Source organism: Homo sapiens, chromosome 2 (assembly GCF_000001405.40).
Source record: "Homo sapiens chromosome 2, GRCh38.p14 Primary Assembly".
Classification (NCBI taxonomy): domain Eukaryota; kingdom Metazoa; phylum Chordata; class Mammalia; order Primates; family Hominidae; genus Homo; species Homo sapiens.
In genome coordinates this window covers 204,980,121-205,003,870 of record NC_000002.12, presented here as the reverse complement: position 1 = coordinate 205,003,870, position 23,750 = coordinate 204,980,121, and the positions used below count along the sequence as shown (strand labels likewise).

Genomic DNA, 23,750 nt, shown 5'->3' with positions numbered 1-23,750 from the left:
AGGCATGCGGAAGATCTGATGCACACAAAAAAATTATGTTTATTAAAAAACAGTTTGCCATTCTCTCAAGAATCTGTCCATTATTCCACAAATATTTATTGTTTGCCTACTATGTGCCAGACACTATTCAAGGTGCTGGTGATACAACAGAGGAAAAACAGACAGAAATCTGAGCTCTGCAAGAGCTTATGTTACAGACAACAAACATAAAAATAAACTGTTTCCTATGTTAGATGTGGATACGTGCTATGGAAAAACACAAAGCAGACTGTGGGCTACAATTCAGTAAAGTGGTCAGAACAGAGCTTACTGAGAAGGCGACTTTTGAGCAAAGGCTTAAAGGTCACGAGATAATTAGCTCCATGGGTCTCTGAGGTGGTGACACCATCAGGGGGAAGCCCTACTTTGTAAGAAAAAGTAGTAGGGCATGAGGTCAGAGAAGTAACAGGCTAGATCATGAAGGCCTTGTACCCTGCTAGGCAGAATAACCACCCCCAATGCCCCCCAAAAAAGTCCATCTCCTAATTGCTGGAACCTGTGAACCTATTATGGAGAAATTAAGATCGCAAGTAGAAGAAATAAGGTTGCTTAGCAGCTGACCTTAGCAGAGGAAGACTGTCCTGGATTATCTAAATGGCTCAGTCCAATGTAATCACAAGGTCCCCTATAAAAGTGAAGAGGGAGGAAAGGCAGTCAATGTCGAAATGGCACAGCACAATAAAGACCGGACGGCCATTGCCGGCTTTGAAGATGGAAGGGGACCAGGAGCCAAGGAATGCAGGTGGTCTCTACACACTGGAAAAAGCCAGATTCTCTGCCAGAGCTTCTAGCAAGGAACTCAGTCTTGTTAAGTCCTTGTTAAGCTCCACATCAGCCTGGAACAACCTTCGACCAGTGCAAGTGCTGGGTGTTGTGCAGCCTTGTGGTGTTTGCCCTACAAGGAGTTTTCTCCCACCCAGCACATGGGAGGAGTGCATTACCCCGGCGAGACTCCAGAAATGTAAGACAATAAATTCATACGAAGTCACTGAGTTTGTGGTAATTTCTTATGGCATCAACAGAAAAATAATCCGCCCATTGTAAGAAATGTGGCTTTTCCTCTGAATGAAAGGGGGAGCCACTAGATGATATGAAGCAGGGGAAAGACCTGATCTGATGGCTATTTTGAAGAGGGACTCTTGTTGCAAGTTAAGAATAGGCTGTGGAGCAGGCAGGGTGGAGGCAGAAGAGCAGGCAGGAGGACATCAGAGCGCGAGAGGATGGAGGCTGCTCTGGAGCTGTTGAGGTAGATGTGGTCAGAGATAAGAAGTGGTTGAGCCTACCAGGATGCAGAAAAGGCACTGCTTCAGGACAGCAGAGAGGAGACAAGGATGACTCTGTGAAAAATGAAGCATATAATTTGGACTTGGGAAAATGAAATGTTTTCCTCCAGGTAAAGATGTCAGTCGCAGAGGAAGCTGGGTAGGGGTGGGAATAGGACAGATTTCATCTTAAAGAAATATTAAGGAAAGCCAGCACAGGGTCTGGCACCATTCAATGATGTGGTCTGTCTGAAATGTCAGAGCCAGAATGTGACCTATTTAAAGCTTTAGACTTTACTTTTTAAATGTAGTTAACAGTCTACAAGGGGATGAAACAGGGCTGTTTGAGAGACGGCCAAAACTTATTTATGACTTGCTTGGCTGGTAGGCTAGAAACATACACTGTCACCCTATAAATGCTATCTACCACATGACTATTGACAAGCTTTAAGGGAATTGACAGGCAGTTGGGTTTTTAAACTACTCACATGTGTCATATGAATGTTAATCGTAGCTACTTATATTAGGGAATGGAGTAAATATATTTTTGTTTAGGGGGAAATTCTCAAGATTTCTTCCTAAATTTAATCCATAAAGGAGCCCAATTAAATTTCAGTGTATTTCTACTTCTCCTTTTCTTCATTCAATACCATGTATGAGATATATTAGGTGACAGCATCGTCTCCAATGTAGTCCTCAACACTAAAAAGCTTCTCTCATCGTGGAGCTGCTCTCTACTGTTGTCATAAGGCGCACATCAGCCTGGAACAACTTTCCACCAGTGCAAGTGCTGGGTATTGTGCAACCGTGTGGTGTTTGCCCTACAAGGAGTTTTCTGCCACCTGGCACATGGGAGGAGCACATTACGCCTCCCTGCCATTTCCACTGATGTGTTCTGATCAATGAGTGAACAGCAAAAGCAGTATGTGCTGCTTCAAAGTTTTTAACTGCCTGTTTGAGACCACCCAGGTTTATCACTCTCACGTGCCAACCAGGAAGGCCAGGTATTCTGGACGGTGCAGCTTCAGCTGACGGTGCCTGTCACACTGGGTCAGAGTCTCCCAGTAAAGCTATTGTTCTGGAGAGCCATCAGGATATGTAAGGGCTCTGTATGAAAAGGAAATAAATGCTGTTGTATTTGGTTACCAAGATACAGGGGTTCAGCCTATTCCAACACAAATGATGAATAATTAGTAATAAAAGAACCAAAGAAAGAGTTAGGATCCCTAGAGTGGGTTCTAGCAATTGAAAGTATTGGCTATCCACTGAAAGAGCATTGCAGGCTGGGTGCAGTGGCTCACGCCTGTATTTCCAGCATTTTGGGAGGCCGAGGTGAGCAGATCACCTGAGGTCAGGAGTTCGAGACCAGCCTGGCCAACATGGTGAAACCCCATCTCTACTAAAAATATGAAAATTAGCCAGGTGTGGTTGCAGGCACCTGTAATCCCAGCTACTAGGGAGGCTGAGGCAGGAGAATCACTTGAACCTGGGAGGCAGAGGTTGCAGTGAGCCAAGATAGCACCATTGCATTCAGCCTGGGCAAAAAGAGCAAAACTCTGTCTAAAAAACAAACAAACAAACAAACAAAAAACACCTCGTAAAAGCAATACAGTAAAGTCAAAGTTACAGGCTTCTACCTGCAAAACCAAAAGACAAAACAAAACAGAAACAAACCAAAAAACCCTAAGGCCCTAATGTTATGCAAAGCATGTCTCAGGATAAAACTTCTAGTGACAGTACCTTGCACAGATTTAAGAAGTTCAGTGTCTCAAGCAATATGGATGGAAGTAGGGACGATGTACTCAGGAAATCAGTTTGAAACTCTAAAAAAAATTGCTCCCATGATAGGAAGGCATTCATATCAACAACCCATGTGATAAGTTTGAATAAAATGAACCTGTAAAATGTGAGCATGGAAAAGATCAACATTTCTCAAATAAAGTTTGCATATGATTATAAAATGTATATCTTAGTAAGTTAATCAATTAAACTTGAGTAGACGTTTGGATATTTCATCTATCTCCTTAAAAGGGTTGTATTCTCATTGGGAAAATGGGGGATTGCTTTTTATGTGACTGTGCCATATATTCAGGCATACATGGAACATAATATAACAAACATGGAATTTTTAGGGAAATCTAATAAAAACCAGAACTAAGAAAGGTTATTTCTCTAACCTTATCTCGTCCCCCAACCACTACACACACTCAATAAATATCAGCAACAGATTTTATGTGTGACACCTGAGCAGGCTCACTCAGTAGAAAACACAAGGCCGTGGCCACACTGAAAACATAATTTAACAAGCCTAATGTAGCAAATCAAGCTGTGCACCACTGCACCCATTACCATAGGAAAGGGAATATTGTTAATGTTGTACTACCCAGAACTCTTCTAGCATGTGGTATCTGCCTTGGTCAGTCTGTGTTTTATATAATAATATTCCAGTAAAAGTTTCAGGAGTAGGCCACAAAGCTGCCTGTTCAGTATACCCCAACAGATGCATGACTCTTCCACACAGGCAAAAGGAGCACGATAAAAAAAAAAAAACCCTGTGACTTGAACACTCCTTATATTTCTCATTGGTAACAATTCTGCAAACCCCCAGAATCAAAGAACTGGAAATACCCTTGTATCGTATAAGTAAATAGATCATTTTTCCAATACTATTTTGCTGAGATAAACCTTTAAAGTTTCTCTGGTCCTGAATGCATGCCAAACATTTTCCTTATCACTCCAAAAGTTCAGGTAAATATATCAGGTACCACTTGCTTCCTAAGAAAGATTGAATTCACTGAAGTAAATTGGGTAGTTCTCAATACCACTTTATCTTTATCACCTACAATACTGTTCTTCATCTGAGAGTACTCCAGTTCCAATAGGCTCCTTGTGAATATTATAGCAATTAAGAAGACCACTTTAATGTATAGGAGAAAAGGACAATGATTATCAGTGGGATTGTGGCTCTGGAATTAAGTTTAAACATCACAGGGAAAACGTTCTCATCTCCAGTGGATAGAAAAGATTGGGTGCGCTTGGAACTGGTATCAGGTGAAACTGAAAAAGAACATGTTCAAAGCTCAGAATTCAATTTTAAATAGTTTCTTGGTACATTCTATAGCAAGTTAGTGAGACTCATAGAAAAAGGTTTCATGAATTAATTTCAGACAGTATGAAACCATGGAAATTCTAAGTAAATGTTTTAAAAAAATCATTCTTAAGAGAGTATCACATTTTAAATATACTTCCATTTAACAAGGCAAAACGAGTCATTCCTTCCATCTCCTTTCTTTCCTTAGTGCTTTTGTAGCAATGAGGTAAATGATGATGACAACGATAATGAATTATAGGACCATTGGATTTTAGGGTTGAAAAGAAGTTTGCAGTTCAACAATTGGAAATTATAGGATGATCTTAAAAACAGATACAGACATCCTGAAGAAAATATTGGCAAAAAAAAAAAAAGTAAGAAAGCATTAGCAAACTGAACCCAGCGATGCATAAAAAAGATTACACTTTATTGCCAGTTTGAGATTACTCTAGAAGTGCCAGTTTAATTTAAATTTTAAAAAATCAGCCAGGCATGGTGCCTCACGCCTGTAATCCCAGCACTTTGGATCACGAAGTCAGGAGATCAAGACCATCCTGTCCAGCACACTGAAACCTTGTCTCTACTGAAAATACAAAAATCAGCTGGGCGTGTTGGCGCATGCCTGTAACCCCAGCTACTCGGGAGGCTGAGGCAGGAGAATCACTTGAACCAGGGTGTCAGAAGTTGCAGTGAGCCGAGATCGCGCCATTGCACTCTAGCCTGGCAACACTGCGAAACTATAATTACTCAATCAATACAATATATCATATTAATAGATGAAAAGCGAAAAACATTTAACCACCTCAGTGGATATGGAAAAATGTTTAGTAGAATTTAACATTCCTTTATATCAAAAACTTTTAGTGATTAGAAATTAAAAGAAACTTCCTTAACCTAAAAAAAAAGTTTTTCATTTCTTCTCTAATTCTTTATATATATATACACACATATATATACACACACATATATATATACACATATATATACATATATTATATACACATATATATACATATATAATATACACATATATATACACACACATATATATACACATATATACATATATATACACATATATACATATATACACACACATATATACACACACACACACACATATATATATATATATATATATATATATATATATATATATATATATACTTTAAGTTCTGGGATACATGTGCAGAATGTGCATGTTTGTTACATAGGTATACACATGCCATGGTGGTTTGCTGCACCCACCAACCCATCATCTACATTAGGTATTTCCCCTAATGCTATCCCTCTCCTAGATCCCACCCCATGACAGGCCCTGGTGTGTGATGTTCCCCTCCCCGTGTCTTCTCTAATTCTTATATTTGTCTTTCTTGCCTTACTATGTTAAGATCTCCAGTACTGAACAGAATTGGTGGCAACAAGTCATCTTATTCATAACCTTAATAAGAAAATAAGAGCTGACTCAACTTTTCAATATTGATTATATGTGTATATATGCACATATATATATATACACATACACTCACTATATATAACAAATAAAAATATTAAGTATATAAATAATAAATATCTACATTACTGTAAATATTTTATAATATTTAAAGATGTGTATACAAGTATAAATTAATATAAAATAATTATATATCTATAAATGTATAGCAAAACTAAAAACATGAACTAGTCTTCATTAAGATTATGAACAAAATCAGCTATCACTCATTCTATCCAACACTGGAGCTCTAAGTGTAGTAATGCAAGAAGGACAAGTATAAGAATTAGTAAAAAAATAAAATAATTTGAAAAGAATAGTCAATCATAGATGACATAATTGTGTAAAACCCCTAAAAGAGACTCAGTTAAATTATTAGTGTCCACGAAAGTCTAAAGAATACTTTCTGGCTTAAAAAAATCAACTGAATTTCTCTAAGCCAGTGACAAACAGAAACAAAACATTTTAGTAACTTTCTTTATAATAGCATCAAAATATCAGGTACTTAGGAATAGATCCAAATAGGTACAAAAACTTTATGAAGAGATCATCAACCCTTACTGAAGGGCAATAAAGAAGTTGTAAATAAATGCAGAGAAGATATAGCATGTTCATTCATGTGAAGACTCAGTATTGTAAGAATGCCAATTCTCTCCAAACTAATCTACAAATTCAATTCAATCCCAATCAAAATCTCATAGGTTTCTGCTTCTGAAATTTAACCGGCCAGTTCTAAAATTAAAGTGGAAGAACAAAGGGCCAAGAACAGCCTGACCATTCTTGGCTGTGAACAACACAGGAACCTACCCTGACAGATATCACGGAGTATTATAAAGTTAGGGTATGGAATTACAAGAATTGAAAGAATGACAACTGAGGAGGGGAGGAGCCAAGATGGCCGAATAGGAACAGCTCCGGTCTACAGCTCCCAGCGTGAGCGACGCAGAAGACGGGTGATTTCTGCATTTCCATCTGAGGTACCGGGTTCATCTCACTAGGGAGTGCCAGACAGTGGGCGCAGGCCAGTGTGTGCGCGCACCATGTGCGAGCCGAAGCAGGGCGAGGCATTGCCTCACCTGGGAAGCGCAAGGGGTCAGGGAGTTCCCTTTTCGAGTCAAAGAAAGGGGTGACGGACGCACCTGGAAAATCGGGTCACTCCCACCCGAATATTGCGCTTTTCAGACCGGCTTAAAAAACGGCGCACCACGAGACTATATCCCACACCTGGCTCGGAGGGTCCTACGCCCACGGAATCTCGCTGATTGCTAGCACAGCAGTCTGAGATCAAACTGCAAGGCGGCAACGAGGCTGGGGGAGGGGCGCCCGCCATTGCCCAGGCTTGCTTAGGTAAACAAAGCAGCCGGGAAGCTCGAACTGGGTGGAGCCCACCACAACTCAAGGAGGCCTGCCTGCCTCTGTAGGCTCCACCTCTGGGGGCAGGGCACAGACAAACAAAAAGACAGCAGTAACCTCTGCAGACTTAAATGGCCCTGTCTGACAGCTTTGAAGAGAGCAGTGGTTCTCCCAGCACGCAGCTGGAGATCTGAGAACCGGCACACTGCCTCCTCAAGTGGGTCCCTGACCCCTGACCCCTGAGCAGCCTAACTGGGAGGCACCCCCCAGCAGGGGCACACTGACACCTCACACGGGAGGGTATTCCAACAGACCTGCAGCTGAGGGTCCTGTCTGTTAGAAGGAAAACTAACAACCAGAAAGGACATCCACACCGAAAACCCATCTGTACATCACCATCATCAAAGACCAAAAGTAGATAAAACCACAAAGATGGGGAAAAAACAGAACAGAAAAACTGGAAACTCTAAAACGCAGAGCGCCTCTCCTCCTCCAAAGGAACGCAGTTCCTCACCAGCAACGGAACAAAGCTGGATGGAGAATGATTTTGACGAGCTGAGAGAAGAAGGCTTCAGACGATCAAATTACTCTGAGCTACGGGAGGACATTCAAACCAAAGGCAAAGAAGTTGAAAACTTTGAAAAAAATTTAGAAGAATGTATAACTAGAATAACCAATACAGAGAAGTGCTTAAAGGAGCTGATGGAGCTGAAAACCAAGGCTCGAGAACTACGTGAAGAATGCAGAAGCCTCAGGAGCTGATGCGATCAACTGGAAGAAAGGGTATCAGCAATGGAAGATGAAATGAATGAAATGAAGCGAGAAGGGAAGTTTAGAGAAAAAAGAATAAAAAGAAATGAGCAAAGCCTCCAAGAAATATGGGACTATGTGAAAAGACCAAATTTACGTCTGATTGGTGTACCTGAAAGTGATGTGGAGAATGGAACCAAGTTGGAAAACACTCTGCAGGATATTATCCAGGAGAACTTCCCCAATCTAGCAAGGCAGGCCAACGTTCAGATTCAGGAAATACAGAGAACGCCACAAAGATACTCCTCGAGAAGAGCAACTCCAAGACACATAATTGTCAGATTCACCAAAGTTGAAATGAAGGAAAAAATGTTAAGGGCAGTCAGAGAGAAAGGTCGGGTTACCCTCAAAGGGAAGCCCATCAGACTAACAGTGGATCTCTCGGCAGAAACCCTACAAGCCAGAAGAGAGTGGGGGCCAATATTCAACATTCTTAAAGAAAAGAATTTTCAACCCAGAATTTCATATCCAGCCAAACTAAGCTTCATAAGTGAAGGAGAAATAAAATACTTTATAGACAAGCAAATGCTGAGAGATTTTGTCACCACAAGGCCTGCCCTAAAAGAGCTCCTGAAGGAAGCGCTAAACATGGAAAGGAACAACCAGTATCAGCCACTGCAAAATCATGCCAAAATGTAAAGACCATTGAGACTAGGAAGAAACTGCATCAACTAATGAGCAAAATCACCAGCTAACATCATAATGACAGGATCAAATTCACACATAACAATATTAACTTTAAATATAAATGAACTAAATTCTCCAATTAAAAGACACAGACTGGCAAGTTGGATAAAGAGTCAAGACCCATCAGTGTGCTGTATTCAGGAAACCCATCTCACGTGCAGAGACACACATAGGCTCAAAATAAAAGGATGGAGGAAGATCTACCAAGCCAATGGAAAACAAAAAAAGGCAGGGGTTGCAATCCTAGTCTCGGATTAAACAGACTTTAAACCAACAAAGATCAAAAGAGACAAAGAAGGCCATTACATAATGGTAAAGGGATCAATTCAACAAGAGGAGCTAACTATCCTAAATATTTATGCACCCAATACAGGAGCACCCAGATTCATAAAGCAAGTCCTGAGTGACCTACAAAGAGACTTAGACTCCCACACATTAATAATGGGAGACTTTAACACCCCACTGTCAACATTAGACAGATCAACGAGATACAGAGTCAACAAGGATACCCAGGAATTGAACTCAGCTCTGCACCAAGCGGACCTAATAGACATCTACAGAACTCTCCACCCCAAATCAACAGAATATACATTTTTTTCAGCACCACACCACACCTATTCCAAAATTGACCACATACTTGGAAGTAAAGCTCTCCTCAGCAAATGTAAAAGAACACAAATTATAACAAACTATCTCTCAGACCACAGTGCAATCAAACTAGAACTCAGGATTAAGAATCTCACTCAAAGCCGCTCAACTACATGGAAACTGAACAACCTGCTCCTGAATGACTACTGGGTACATAACGAAATGAAGGCAGAAATAAAGATGTTCTTTGAAACCAACGAGAACAAAGACACAACATACCAGAATCTCTGGGACGCATTCAAAGCAGTGTGTAGAGGGAAATTTATAGCACTAAATGCCTACAAGAGAAAGCAGGAAAGATCCAAAATTGACACCCTAACATCACAATTAAAAGAACTAGAAAAGCAAGAGCAAACACATTCAAAAGCTAGCAGAAGGCAAGCAATAACTAAAATCAGAGCAGAACTGAAGGAAATAGAGACACAAAAAACCCTTCAAAAAATTAATGAATCCAGGAGCTGGTTTTTTGAAAGGATCAACAAAATTGATAGACCGCTAGCAAGACTAATAAAGAAAAAAAGAGAGATGAATCAAATAGATGCAATAAAAAATGATAAAGGGGATATCACCACCGATCCCACAGAAATACAAACTACCATCAGAGAATACTACAAACACCTCTACGCAAATAAACTAGAAAATCTAGAAGAAATGAATACATTCCTCGACACATACAATCTCCCAAGACTAAACCAGGAAGAAGTTGAATCTCTGAATAGACCAATAACAGGAGCTGAAATTGTGGCGATAATCAATAGTTTACCAACCAAAAAGAGTCCAGGACCAGATGGATTCACAGCCGAATTCTACCAGAGGTACAAGGAGGAACTGGTACCATTCCTTCTGAAACTATTCCAATCAATAGAAAAAGAGGGAATCCTCCCTAACTCATTTTATGAGGCCAGCATCATTCTGATACCAAAGCCAGGCAGAGACACAACCAAAAAAGAGAATTTTAGACCAATATCCTTGATAAACATTGATGCAAAAATCCTCAATAAAATACTGGCAAAACGAATCCAGCGGCACATCAAAAAGCTTATCCACCATGATCAAGTGGGCTTCATCCCTGGGATGCAAGGCTGGTTCAATATACGCAAATCAATAAATGTAATCCAGCATATAAACAGAGCCAAAGACAAAAACCACATGATTATCTCAATAGATGCAGAAAAAGCCTTTGACAAAATTCAACAACCCTTCATGCTAAAAACTCTCAATAAATTAGGCATTGATGGGACGTATTTCAAAATAATAAGAGCTATCTATGACAGACCCACAGCCAATATCATACTGAATGGGCAAAAACTGGAAGCATTCCCTTTGAAAACTGGCACAAGACAGGGATGCCCTCTCTCACCACTCCTATTCAACATAGTGTTGGAAGTTCTGGCCAGGGCAATCAGGCAGGAGAAGGAAATAAAGGGTATTCAATTAGGAAAAGAGGAAGTCAAATTGTCCCTGTTTGCAGACGACATGATTGTTTATCTAGAAAACCCCATCGTCTCAGCCCAAAATCTCCTTAAGCTGATAAGCAACTTCAGCAAAGTCTCAGGATACAAAATCAATGTACAAAAATCACAGGCATTCTTATACAGCACCAACAGACAAACAGAGAGCCAAATCATGAGTGAACTCCCATTCACAATTGCTTCAAAGAGAATAAAATACCTAGGAATCCAACTTACAAGGGATGGGAAGGACCTCTTCAAGGAGAACTACAAACCACTGCTCAAGGAAATAAAAGAGGACACAAACAAATGGAAGAACATTCCATGCTCATGGGTAGGAAGAATCAATATCGTGAAAATGGCCATACTGCCCAAGGTAATTTACAGATTCAATGCCATCCCCATCAAGCTACCAATGACTTTCTTCACAGAATTGGAAAAAACTACTTTAAAGTTCATATGGAACCAAAAAAGAGCCCGCATCGCCAAGGCAATCCTAAGCCAAAAGAACAAAGCTGGAGGCATCACACTACTTGACTTCAAACTATACTACAAGGCTACAGTAACCAAAACAGCATGGTACTGGTACCAAAACAGAGATATAGATCAATGGAACAGAACAGAGCCCTCAGAAATAACGCCACGTACCTACAACTATCTGATCTTTGACAAACCTGAGAAAAACAAGCAATGGGGAAAGGATTCCGTATTTAATAAATGGTGCTGGGAAAACTGGCTAGCCATATGTAGAAAGCTGAAACTGGATCCCTTCCTTACACCTTATACAAAAATCAATTCAAGATGGATTAAAGATTTAAACGTTAGACCTAAAACCATAAAAACCCTAGAAGAAAACCTAGGCATTACCATTCAGGACATAGGCGTGGGCAAAGACTTCATGTCCAAAACACCAAAAGCAATGGCAACAAAAGCCAAAATTGACAAATGGGATCTAATTAAACTAAAGAGCTTCTGCACAGCAAAAGAAACTACCATCAGAGTAAACAGGCAACCTACAACATGGGAGAAAATTTTTGCAACCTACTCATCTGACAAAGGGCTAATATCCAGAATCTACAATGAACTCCAACAAATTTACAAGAAAAAAACAAACAACCCCATCAAAAAGTGGGTGAAGGACATGAACAGACACGTCTCAAAAGAAGACATTTATGCAGCCAAAAAACGCATGAAAAAATGCTCATCATCACTGGCCATCAGAGAAATGCAAATCAAAACCACTATGAGATACCATCTCACACCAGTTAGAATGGCAATCATTAAAAAGTCAGGAAACCACAGGTGCTGGAGAGGATGTGGAGAAATAGGAACACTTTTACACTGTTGGTGGGACTGTAAACTAGTTCAACCATTGTGGAAGTCGGTGTGGCGATTCCTCAGGGATCTAGAACTAGAAATACCATTTGACCCAGCCATCCCATTACTGGGTATATACCCAAAGGACTATAAATCATGCTGCTATAAAGACACATGCACACGTATGTTTATTGCGGCATTATTCACAATAGCAAAGACTTGGAACCAAGCCAAATGTCCAACAATGATAGACTGGATTAAGAAAATGTGGCACATATACACCATGGAATACTATGCAGCCATAAAAAATGATGAGTTCATGTCCTTTGTAGGGACATGGATGAAATTGGAAAACATCATTCTCAGTAAACTATCGCAAGAACAAAAAACCAAACACCGCATATTCTCACTCATAGGTGGGAATTGAACAATGAGATCACATGGACACAGGAAGGGGAATATCACACTCTGGGGACTGTGGTGGGTTGGGGGGAGGGGGGAGGGATAGCATTGGGAGATATACCTAATGCTAGATGATGCGTTAGTGGGTGCAGCGCACCAGCATGGCACATGTATACATATGTAACTAACCTGCACAATGTGCACATGTACCCTAAAACTTATATAAGTATAATAAAAAAAAAAAAAGAATGACAACTGAAATAGTTTAGAGCATCCAGAAGCAGACACAGAAATACTAAGACATTTGAATTTCACAGAATTATAATAGCTGTGTGTTCCTGTAGAGAAATGACAGGCTTTATAATAAATGATGCCTGACAATTGATCACGTGTATGGTGGAAAAGCTGTACCCCTATCTCACACCATATGCTAAAATAAAAAGTTATCCTATGTAAAGTAAACTTTTAAACAGACAAAATTATGAAACTTTTATATAAAGTAGAAGAGTCTCTCTATGGCTTTAGGTAGGGAAAGATTTCTTAAATAAGATACAAAATATTCAAACATAAAAATGTTGACTCTATTAAAATCAACAATTCCTGGTCATCAAAAAACATACAGGAAGAGAAGACAAGTCATTAACTGGGGCAAGATATTTGTAGCATACACACACACACATACACACACAGACAGATACAATCTACAAATTATTAGTGTTCTTAATATGTAAATAATTCCTGTGAATCAGAGAGTAGAATGATAGTTACTAGAGTCTGGAAAGTGGGAGGGAGAAAGAAAGGTTTGTTAATGGGTATCAACATACAATTAGTTCTAGTGTTCAACAGCATGGTACGGTGACTATAGTTAACAATAATTTGTTGTATATTTCAAGATAGCTAAAAGAGAATATTCAAAATGTTCCCAACACAAAGAAACATGATATGTTTGAGGTGATACGCTAATAATCCTGAAGTGATCATTATGCATTGTATGCATATATCAAATATCACATGTACTCCAAAAATACGTACAATTATTATCAGTAAAAAAAAAAAAATGTTTTTAAAGAGTTCCTGCAAATCAATGAGTAAAAAAATTGTCAAAAATCTTACCAGGAACATCACAGAAGAGTAAATCTGAATGGTCAATAATTACATTAAAATATGCTTGAGCTCAATCACAATGAAATATTTCATATCCATAAAATTGGCGAAAATTTAAAATCTAGCTATATTGTTTTGCTGACCATGTAAAAACTGGAATTCTATTTTACATTTAGTAGTTTAAAGAATTAGTAAAATTACTGTGGGAAGCAATTTGGCATTATCTAATATATTTCAAAAGTAATATATTCTATAAACAAACAATTTCATTCTAAGTATATTTACCTAGAGAAAATTGTTATATGTTCATTGACTATGTGAAGAAGGTGGTTTATAGTTATGCTGCATGTAAGAGCAAAAACCTGGAAATAATGCAAATATCCATTTTTTTAAAAAAGGAAACTATACTGCAATGAAATGAATGGATAATGGGCTACATTCAACAACATGATACTCCTTAGGAGTGCAATATTAAGGAGAAAAAGGTACAGAAAAAATTTTCAGTATACTTCCATTTATAAAGCTCAAAATCACACAAAACTAAACAATGAACTCCATAGAGATATGAAAATTCATGGTAAAATTATAAAGAAAAGCAAAGGAATGATTATTCCACAGAAAAGTGAAATAGATGGAATTAGCAAGGGGTACAGAGGGGACTTCAAAGATAATGACAGCCCAGTTTCTCAAATCAGGTGTTAGTTACATGGGTGCTCACTGCGTTGCTTCTCTTCATACATACCACAGTTTTAGAAAACTCTCAAATTCAATATTTAATTTAAAAATAAATCCTTTCGCTGGCCTCTAGTAAAATGTCCTGGCTCCTTACCTTGGCTATGTAAGTGCTTCCAGTTCTGGTTCCATCCTGGTTTCCAGAAAAATCTCACCATACTTCTCTCCCAATTTTTCCCTACCTTACATTCCTTATGGCAGTCATACTTGGCTTTTTTCTTTTTCCTGAGCATGCAATCCTAGAAATATTCTTTCCATTTCCACTTGCCTGGTCAATCCCTCACTTCCTTTGAAAAATCGTCCTTGAACTTACCCTCCCCAGCTCCTTTCTTAGGTAAAGGGACACTGCCCTGAGTGCTGACTGTAGCCTGTACCCCCCTTAACATTACATTTAAACTGTTTTTGTGATTACTTCCTATACTAGGCAGTACACTTGGTGACAGCAAAGACCACTGCTATCTTGTGCACTGCTGGAGGTTTACCACCCAGTGCCTAGAACATGAACAGTACCTGATAAATATTTCTCATTTAATGCAAGAACAAAGAGATGAACGTATTTCTTTTTGTAGCAGTCCATTCTTTTCATTGTTAAATAGATCTAATCTTCTTTGGGTGTGTGGTGTCAGGGCGTGGACAGCATTTAACTGTCACCCTATAATATGGGCACACCATTTCTTGTAAATTTCTCTCATTTCTCTTTTTCAGTTATTTTAAATGTGAGTGGAAACTAAGTCAGTTCAGGAGTATGATATGAAGAACAATTTCCAAATCTAAAATTTTTGAACAAAGTTCTCTTTTTCTGTCATGCATACTTATTTAGGTCACAAATTCATTTATTTTTATTTTTAATTATTGTGGGTACACAATAGGTATATATATTTATGGAGTACATGAGATGTTTTGATACAGGTATGTAATATGAAATAAGCACATCATGGAGAATGGGGTATCCACCCCCTCAAGTATTTATCCTTTGTGTTACAAACAATTACAATCTTTTAGTTATTTTGAAATGTACAATTACATTATTATTGACTATAGTCACCATGTTGTGTGTCATAGTCATTCTATGTCTTATTCATTCTATTTTTTATACCATTAACCATCCCCACCTGTCCTCCACATGCCCCCCACTACCTTCTCAGCCTCTGGTAACCATTCTTCTACTCTCTATGTCCATGAGTTCAATTGTTTTGAACAAATTCATTGTCTGAGAAAATACAGACACCATTTATTCTTCATGTAGGATTTCAATATTTCCAAAATGTCAGAATTATACTAGTAGCATGGCTGGTTTATCATGCATGCAGTGCTAATCCAATGTCTTCTCTGGCTTGACCATAACTTCATCTCCTTTTTGTCTCAGCTTTTTTCTCTCCAGAACTTCTCCAAGGACCCCCTTCATGCCCTCATCCTCCTCCTGCAATGTGATGACCCCCACTGGACTCTAGGTGTTTCTCTCTCTCTCTCTTTTGCCATATTTTCATCTAACTACCTCTTTCCCTGAAGTCTATTTTTCATTTCCACATCAACAATCCCTTTCCCTTCCAGCCTTCTAACTGTCACCCTTTGGATTCTGCTTGTCAGCTGGATTAACAGAGTGACAAACCCATGAATTCCCCCCAAAAAGCTAATGGAATGAAATCACCTCCCTATATAAGAATCACAGATAATGTTTCTAATTTTTTCTGATACATGTTTAACACGTTTGTTGTATGAAAAGCAGTAAATAAGATTAAGATCCCAACTTGAAAGACAATGAAAAGTCCTTAGTCTTGGAACACTGAAAAAAAAAATTCTGAAGAAGATGAAAATCTAGAGTTTAATTTGTTAATTTGATTTGTTTATGCATTCATTCAGCAAATAATTATTGACTGACCACTACACACCAGGCATTGTGCCAGGGACTACAGATACAACAGTGGACAAAAGAGATGATGATCTGAGTTCATCAACATACCTTCTAGAAAGAGAAGACAGACAAACACATACACAAATAAGTATGTATCATCTTTATAATTTATCTCCCCAAACTACAGAATCTTTTCTTTGACAAAGGTAATACCATAAGAAATATTCTTCATGAAAGCACATATTTTATCAATCAACAAGCATTCTATTCTGGCAATATTTTCAGAATTCAAGATAAAATATCTTCCAAAATGTTTTATTCCCAGAGAAAATATTAGTCTTTTGAATTTGCATGTCACCCCAGGGCCACATCTTAAAAACACATTTATTTGCAAGTTGATTGTCTTCATTTTACCAGTAAGTGCTTTCATTTTTTTCTTTTAGGGTATTTTAACTGGGTACTTCATAGTCACATTTTTTTTCCAAAGTCAAATCTGTTCTCTTATTGTGAGGAAAGGCACCTTTGGAAGTTGTGTTAACTCTTATAGTACATGAGAGTGCCATTTAATACACCAAACCAATACTATACAGCCACACGAGAGAGTCCCTTAGACACTTGGGAAGTTTGTTCAGTACCTGTGCTATTGTTTTAGAATATCTCCCTAAAAGAAACATTTTCTCCTGGTAATGAAAAATACCTCAAAAAGAAAGACAGCTTTCAAAATTTGAGGAACTGCTCTGAGGGAGATATGCAACACATGACTATTGAGAATCTTATCAGCTGAGGTAAAATTTTGCTCCAGCGTTTTATGGCAGGACGTAAAAGGTGGGCTGAGAGATGGAAGAATGCTGTCCATCAAGCGTCTGTCAAATTACCCATCGAAAAGGTCATTCCAATGAAAATTACTCTTCTAGCTGCTATCACATTAGGAATTTTTGCCAAAGAGATTTTTTAAACTTCACAGAAAAGACTGAGAAACTCTGAACAATCCTCATCTGTGAAATCTAAAAATCATCTTGGAATGCTAACAGGCATATATAGTATTAATTGCGTACGTTAAAAATATAAACTGGCTAAAGACAATAACTAGTTGTTGGATGTCACCATCTGAGGGATTTACATTTAGTTTGATGGATTACAAAAGTGGATTTAAGAGCTCAAGGAGAGATTATGATTTAAACTAGGTAAAGTACTGATTATTACAAATCAGTAACTGCCATTGCTGAGACAAATCACAGTTTAGGGTTGATATGCTCTGTCGATAACACTTCATAGTCGTATAGACATGTTTTGAAGAAGGATAATTCAGAAACTTACTTGGATATTGTTATGCCCTATGTGCTTTTGATACAACTGTTGGGTTACATACTGGCAGGCCCTGAGCTTTCCTTGCAGTCAGCAAAGGTGACACACAGGTCTAAGTGAAGTAAAGGGATCCAATCAAAAGATGACAGAGATCTGCCATACCCAAGAAAGTCCCTAGCATATGGGCCCAGATAAGCTCTTTTTTTTTTTTTTTTTTTTTTTTTGGAGACAGAGTCTCGCTCTGTTGTCCAGGCTGGAATGCAATGGCACTATCTCGGCTCACTGCAAGCTCCACCTCCCGGATTCAAGCAATTCTCCTGCCTCAGCCTCCTGAGTAGCTGGGGCTACAGGCGCCTGCCATCACGCCCGGCTAACTTTTTGTATTTTTAGTAGAGACGGGGTTTCACCATGTTGCCAGGCTGGTCTCGAGCTCCTGAGCTCAGGCAATCCACCCACCTCGGCCTCCTAAAGTGCTGGGATTACAGATGTGAGCCACCACGCCTAGCTAAGCCTTTTTCAATACAATCCAGATGTTTCTCCCCTTCTCCTTTGTCTATTCTGTACACATCACCCCAACCCTCACCAGATCTTCCCCCCATATGAAACCAGCTTGGTACACGGGGCTTCATCAATTGTCTCCACTTCTTTCCAGTGGCTTTTCACATATAACAACTGTGGCTGAGGTGGGCCCTCTGCCACTGAAGAAGTCAGGGCGGCAGATGCTCAGTTCGGTTTCAGTAAGACCCTCTGTCCATTTGGTCAAATTCCAGCCACGTTCATGTGTGTGGTGCATGGCAAGAACATAAACATTATGACATTTTCTCCTCTTTGTTTTTCCAGAAAAGTGTTAGAACTGTATGTTTCCTGGAGCTTATGGCCTCACACATTCTGATATAGCCAATTTTGAAATATTTATCTTCCACAGAAGACATTCTCCCCTTTGATATTGGTAGTATCCACTCAACCACTTAAGCTTTTAGTCTTGGTGTCAAGTTCATATAGATTATCATTCCTCAGAAAGATAAGCATTAAGAGTTAATCAGTTTTGTTGTTTGGGCTTTAATGCATTCCTTTAATTGTTCAAGGAAGGAAAGTAGAGAGAGATAGTTAAAGGGAGGGAAAAAACAGGCAGGAGGGAAGGAAGGAGGATGTAAGGAAAGAAGTGGGGGAAGGAAAAGGGGAAGAAAAAGGAGGAGAAATGGAAAGAAGAGAAAGAGACAGACTAAGTTAGAGAGGTCTCTAACCTGGTAGCCTACAATATTACCATTGAATTTGTAGCAATGCCTATAATCATTATTAGACGTGCCAAACGTGGTAGAGAAGATTTTGTGAGAGCTGGGGCTGTACTGAATGACTTGCTTGAACACTTGCTGAATTAAGATACCTTGAAGTCATCTGGGGTGGGGTGCGGGGGGGTGGGCAGTGGAACAAAGGTGAGCAGTAATTCTTTCCTGATGATTATTCCAGGACTGCTTCACATTCCTTCTGCCAGACTTAAGCTCGGTATTCACACAGGGCTCTTAGTTGATGGATCTGCACCATTAATCCCATATCTAAGTGCCTAAAGTGGGTGAAAATGGGGATTCCAGTCTCACACATGCAATGCAAAAATGGCCCTTCTCCTCCTAACCATGACATCTGGCTCCTCAAAGAGGAGAAAGCCCCTCCTACAAATTCCAGGGCCGCTCCATTTCCTGCTACTGAATTAAACATCTCCCAGAATAACTGACAACTCACACATCCAATAACATTCCTTTGTGAATACAAAGGAATACACATACATTTATTTTAATATTAATGTTATTCATATTAAATACAAAAGGGAAACATCTACTTCTCCTAAGGGCCCTGGCTATCACTGGCCTAAATCTGAAACTCCATGAAATCATTTTGCCAAATTTTCCCTTGTGTGTTACCCCATTTTAAGTGCATTCCACCTTCAATATGAAACTCCAGCAATTTCAGTGATAAAGTGGTAGCATTTCCACATCCAAACTACACGTAAAAACTATTTTGATTAGTCTCAACTGACTATTGAGAAGATTGAAAAATCTTGACTATTACAGACAGCAATTTACTAGTATTTGTCCAATAATGTAAGTTGAGACCTTTTAAAGAGAAATGTATATTTTATTAATTCTTTTGCTAATTTGACCATGAAATTACTGTGAAAATTTTATCATATATTAAATATATATATAATTTTGATTTAGATGTTTTATAGATGCAGGGAAGGCAAAACTCCACCTCTATTCTCTTAGTATTTGGCTGGATCTGAGAATTAGATAGATATAAAACAGATGAACAGGAGAAATGCATATTTTTTTTTCTTTTTAGAGAGGCGACAAGGAAGGTCCATACAGAGGAGGGGACGGGTACTGACATACAACTTCAATACAAGTTTTATATGCACAGGAGCCCTCATAAGGAAACGAAGACCCAAAGAAGGGGTTAGAGTCAGTTACTTATATACTGAATTGGACAAATAATAGTAAGCTGTGAAAATGCAACTATGTTATGTGGAGAGGCTTAAAAGAGTTATTTTACAATGTCTATACTAAATTCTCTTGGTTACAACTTCTGATCCTAAGGATAAGGATGTTGTGTCTTGCAAGTATATGGAGGGCATCTTTCACATGGGAATTTCATCTTCTGCTTTTAAGAAACGGAACGAAGGTCAGAGTCATCTTTTTGCACCTGGTGTTTTTCAAGTGCCCTTTAACTTCAATAGTCAATATGGCAGGTTGGTATATTTTTAACTCCTTCACAGGTAATAAAATGCATGAAGATTTCCTCCACACAGGCTGAACTGTTTCCTCTTAATTCTCAACTAAATACATTAAATTTAATATCAAATGTTGTCTTTTTTTTCTAACTTTCCTTAAACTGACTTCTCTCCTCCCCCCTTCCTCTCCCGACTCCCCCCACAGCCACCATGCTTACATTTTTGGATGCATTGTTTATTAAAGCCTCGGTTGGAACCTTCATAAATGTCAGTTGTTATAAGTTGGTTAGGACCACAATGCAGAGTTAACAACTATATTTACTCAAGGCTTAATAACACCAATTTTTTTGAGAATGAAACTACCAAATAAAGAAACTCCTACATAATGTCTGCAAATTATCAGGCCCAATTACCAGTTGGACAACCCAAACTGCATTGGCTATACCAACAGTTCACAGAATCAATGCTTCAGGTCACCGAGCTAAGAAAACAGCAGTAACAACCTCCTGAAAAATACTCAATCAGGTAGAAAGCACTAAATCAGGTAGAAAATGGAGGCAATCATCCAGATAATCCGAGAAAACCAAGACAAAAAGCACTCCAATTATTTGTATACTTTAGCTGAAGTATTTTTAGTTGTTCTAGATTTAGGTAATTATATTCGTTCTCCTTTCAGATATATGCAATTTGAAATATTCCCCTCAAGTAAAATCAGACAAAAAAGACAAGCTCTACAGAGTATACTACAAATTCATAAAATAGATTACTTTTTATCAGATACAATGACTAATTCTTTTTTACATCTATACCAATTTAAGCGTGAGTACATGCAGTCTATTTAATACTGAACTTTTATCCATTATCTAGGGGCAATGTTACAGTTCCTTACTCATTTCAAAAATTTAATTAGAACACTTGTTTTGTGTCACCATATACCTAATTAAAATCTTTTAGCTTGAGCTGAAAGATTGTGAGTGTTAGAGTGAGTTGGTACTGGTGTGAAACATGAGTCAGCACTTTCACGATGCTGCAAAGCAATATGGACAACATATTGTTATGTGGATTAGTGGGGCAAGAAAGAGAGCTATCAGAATCAGTGTGAACTGGTGGCTGCAGCATGTGGCCAAGCCCCTGTACTTGTGTGCTTAACTTGGGGAGGATCTGGGGAGACTTTGCAGCTGTGCTCTGAGCTGGTCTAGGCCACACCCATGCCTGATCCACAGAACTTGGTCGTCTGTGAGTTGGAGAAAACAGGGTGAGTAGCTCCTTGAAGCAGCTGACAGCAATCTTACAAGAAATTCCTCATCAATAATAAGCACTAAATTGTGCAAATGATTTATCTTTTCAAGATATAATTACAGTGGTTTCAAGGTTCTCTACCTAATAATGTCACTCCTTCCTGGCCTACTTGTGTCCTAATGTGACCATTTAAAATGTGATTTTCAAAACAATTCAAACCTTGCAGAAGGAAGGAAATATAAAAATAAAAAATAAAAGTCTCCCTTTCACTGACAGGCTCAACTTACCAGAAGTTGTCTTTTTGTAGCACTTCTATTTTTGACTTTTTTGGTGGTTACATAACTCCAAGATTTATATACATATATATGTGTGTGTGTACATACACACACACAATGTCTTGATTTTTTTGAACTTTAAATAGCATTGATAGACTCCCTGCTAAAAAAGATGAAGAATTTTTCTCAAAATTCCCTTCCTCTCTCCTCTAACCAATCTGCACTACTCACTCCCCAACTCCCTTCCAGTTTTCCTCAAATGCCACCCTGTTTAACATTAGACTCCTCGTTCTTGTCATCAGACACCCTACTCTCCTGACCATGTTTTAGTGTTCTCCCAAAACTTTTTATCAGTTTCTAACATACTATATAAAAATCTCATTTATTATGGTTACTGTCTTCTCACACTAGTGTATAAACTAAATGAGAATAGAAAGTTTTAATCTTTTTGTTGTTTACTGCTACATTCCCAGCACCTACAAAAGTGCCTGGTAGATAGTTAAGTGTCCAATAAATATTTGCTTAATGCATGAATTTTAGATTGTCATTTTAATTTTTTTATAGCCACATATGCTTGGCCCACCAACTTAAGGCAGATGTATATTGCCCCACTGGGAAAGAGGGAATTAACTCCTTACACCTTCTATTTTATGAAATTATTCTAAGGGTTTTTCTTGCTATTGCTATTGTAATAGTTTAATCTCACTGTTGTAAAGTATTCCATTGTATGCATACACCACAGTTTATTATTTTACCAAAGATGGACATTTAGGTTGTTTCCAATTTGAGATTGATATGAATAGGGATGCTGTTCTATTTTTTTTTCAGTGAATATACACGCTCGTTTCTGTTGAGAATTACCTAGGTTACCTAGGACTGAAATGGCAGAGTCATAGGACATGTACAGTTTCAATTTCAGTGGATACTCAAACAGTTTTCCAACAATGTATGAGGTTTAGTTACTTCACAGGCTCACCAAGAGCTGGTATTCTTTCATTTTAGTAATTTCTGATGAATTTATAGTGGCCTTGTATTAACCAACTTTTCCTTTTGAATTAATTTATAACTTGCAAAGATAGTATAAAAAGAATCGAGTTTCCCCTATGTTAACATCTTATGTAACTATGGTATGTATGTCAAAACTAATTTAACATTTATACATTACTATTAACAAGGCTACAGATTTCCTTTGGATTTCACCAGCTTTTCCACGAATGACCTTTTCTGTTCCAGGATCCAGTTTAGGATACCATACTGTATTTAGTCATCAAGTCTTCTCAGTCTCTTCTGGTCTGGAACAGTTTTTCAATCTTTCCTTGTTGTTCATGACCTTGACTTTGTGAAGAGGACTTGTCAGGTATTTTGTAAAATGTTCCTCAATTTGGGCTTGTTTGATGTTCTTCTCATGATTAGCCTGGGGGTATGGATTTGGAGGAAGAATACCATTGAGGTGAAATGCCCTGCTCATCACATCATTTTCAGACTACATGGTATCAGCTGAATTATGCCTGGAGATAATAATCTTGATCACTTGGTTCAAACAGTGCTTGCCAGGTTTCTCTACTGTGGATTCACTCATTTTCTTTTTCAGTATCCTATTCTTTGGAAGTAAGTCATCAAGTTCATCCCATACTCAAGGTGAAAGTACTATCTATATATATTATTTGGAATTCTACTAGAAAGATTTGTCAACTCCTACCCTTACCTCTAAGCACTACTAGTTTTATTTACTCAAACAATCACTTATATCAGTATGGGCTCATGCAAATTTACTTTATATGTTGGGTTATAAACAAATACTACATTGTTTATTTTGTTGCTGAAATTTGCAATGTGGTTTTAATGTGCTTTTCTGTCACGATTGATGAAGTTGAACACCTTTATATAAATCTACTGGCCATTTTATGAAGTGCCTGTTAGGGTTCTTTCCTATTTTTCTATTGAGCAGGATGCTTTCCTCTTATGA

At 38.3% G+C, this 23,750-nt stretch overlaps 1 protein-coding gene across 16 annotated transcripts in view, besides 1 other annotated feature; it reads right to left on the bottom strand.

The window, feature by feature from the left end:
- PARD3B (par-3 family cell polarity regulator beta) overlaps positions 1 to 23,750 on the bottom strand; it is a 1,074,688-nt gene that overhangs the window by 616,292 nt on the left and 434,646 nt on the right. The gene's annotated exons all lie outside the window — the stretch shown is intronic.
- Positions 7,034 to 7,627: an enhancer, noted in NCBI's record as "NANOG-H3K27ac-H3K4me1 hESC enhancer chr2:205860967-205861560 (GRCh37/hg19 assembly coordinates)". NCBI's record gives its function as "activates a minimal SCP1, AML or CMV promoter by ChIP-STARR-seq in primed H9 embryonic stem cells {active_cell/tissue: H9 hESC(primed)}" and the evidence as "EXISTENCE:reporter gene assay evidence [ECO:0000049][PMID:30033119]".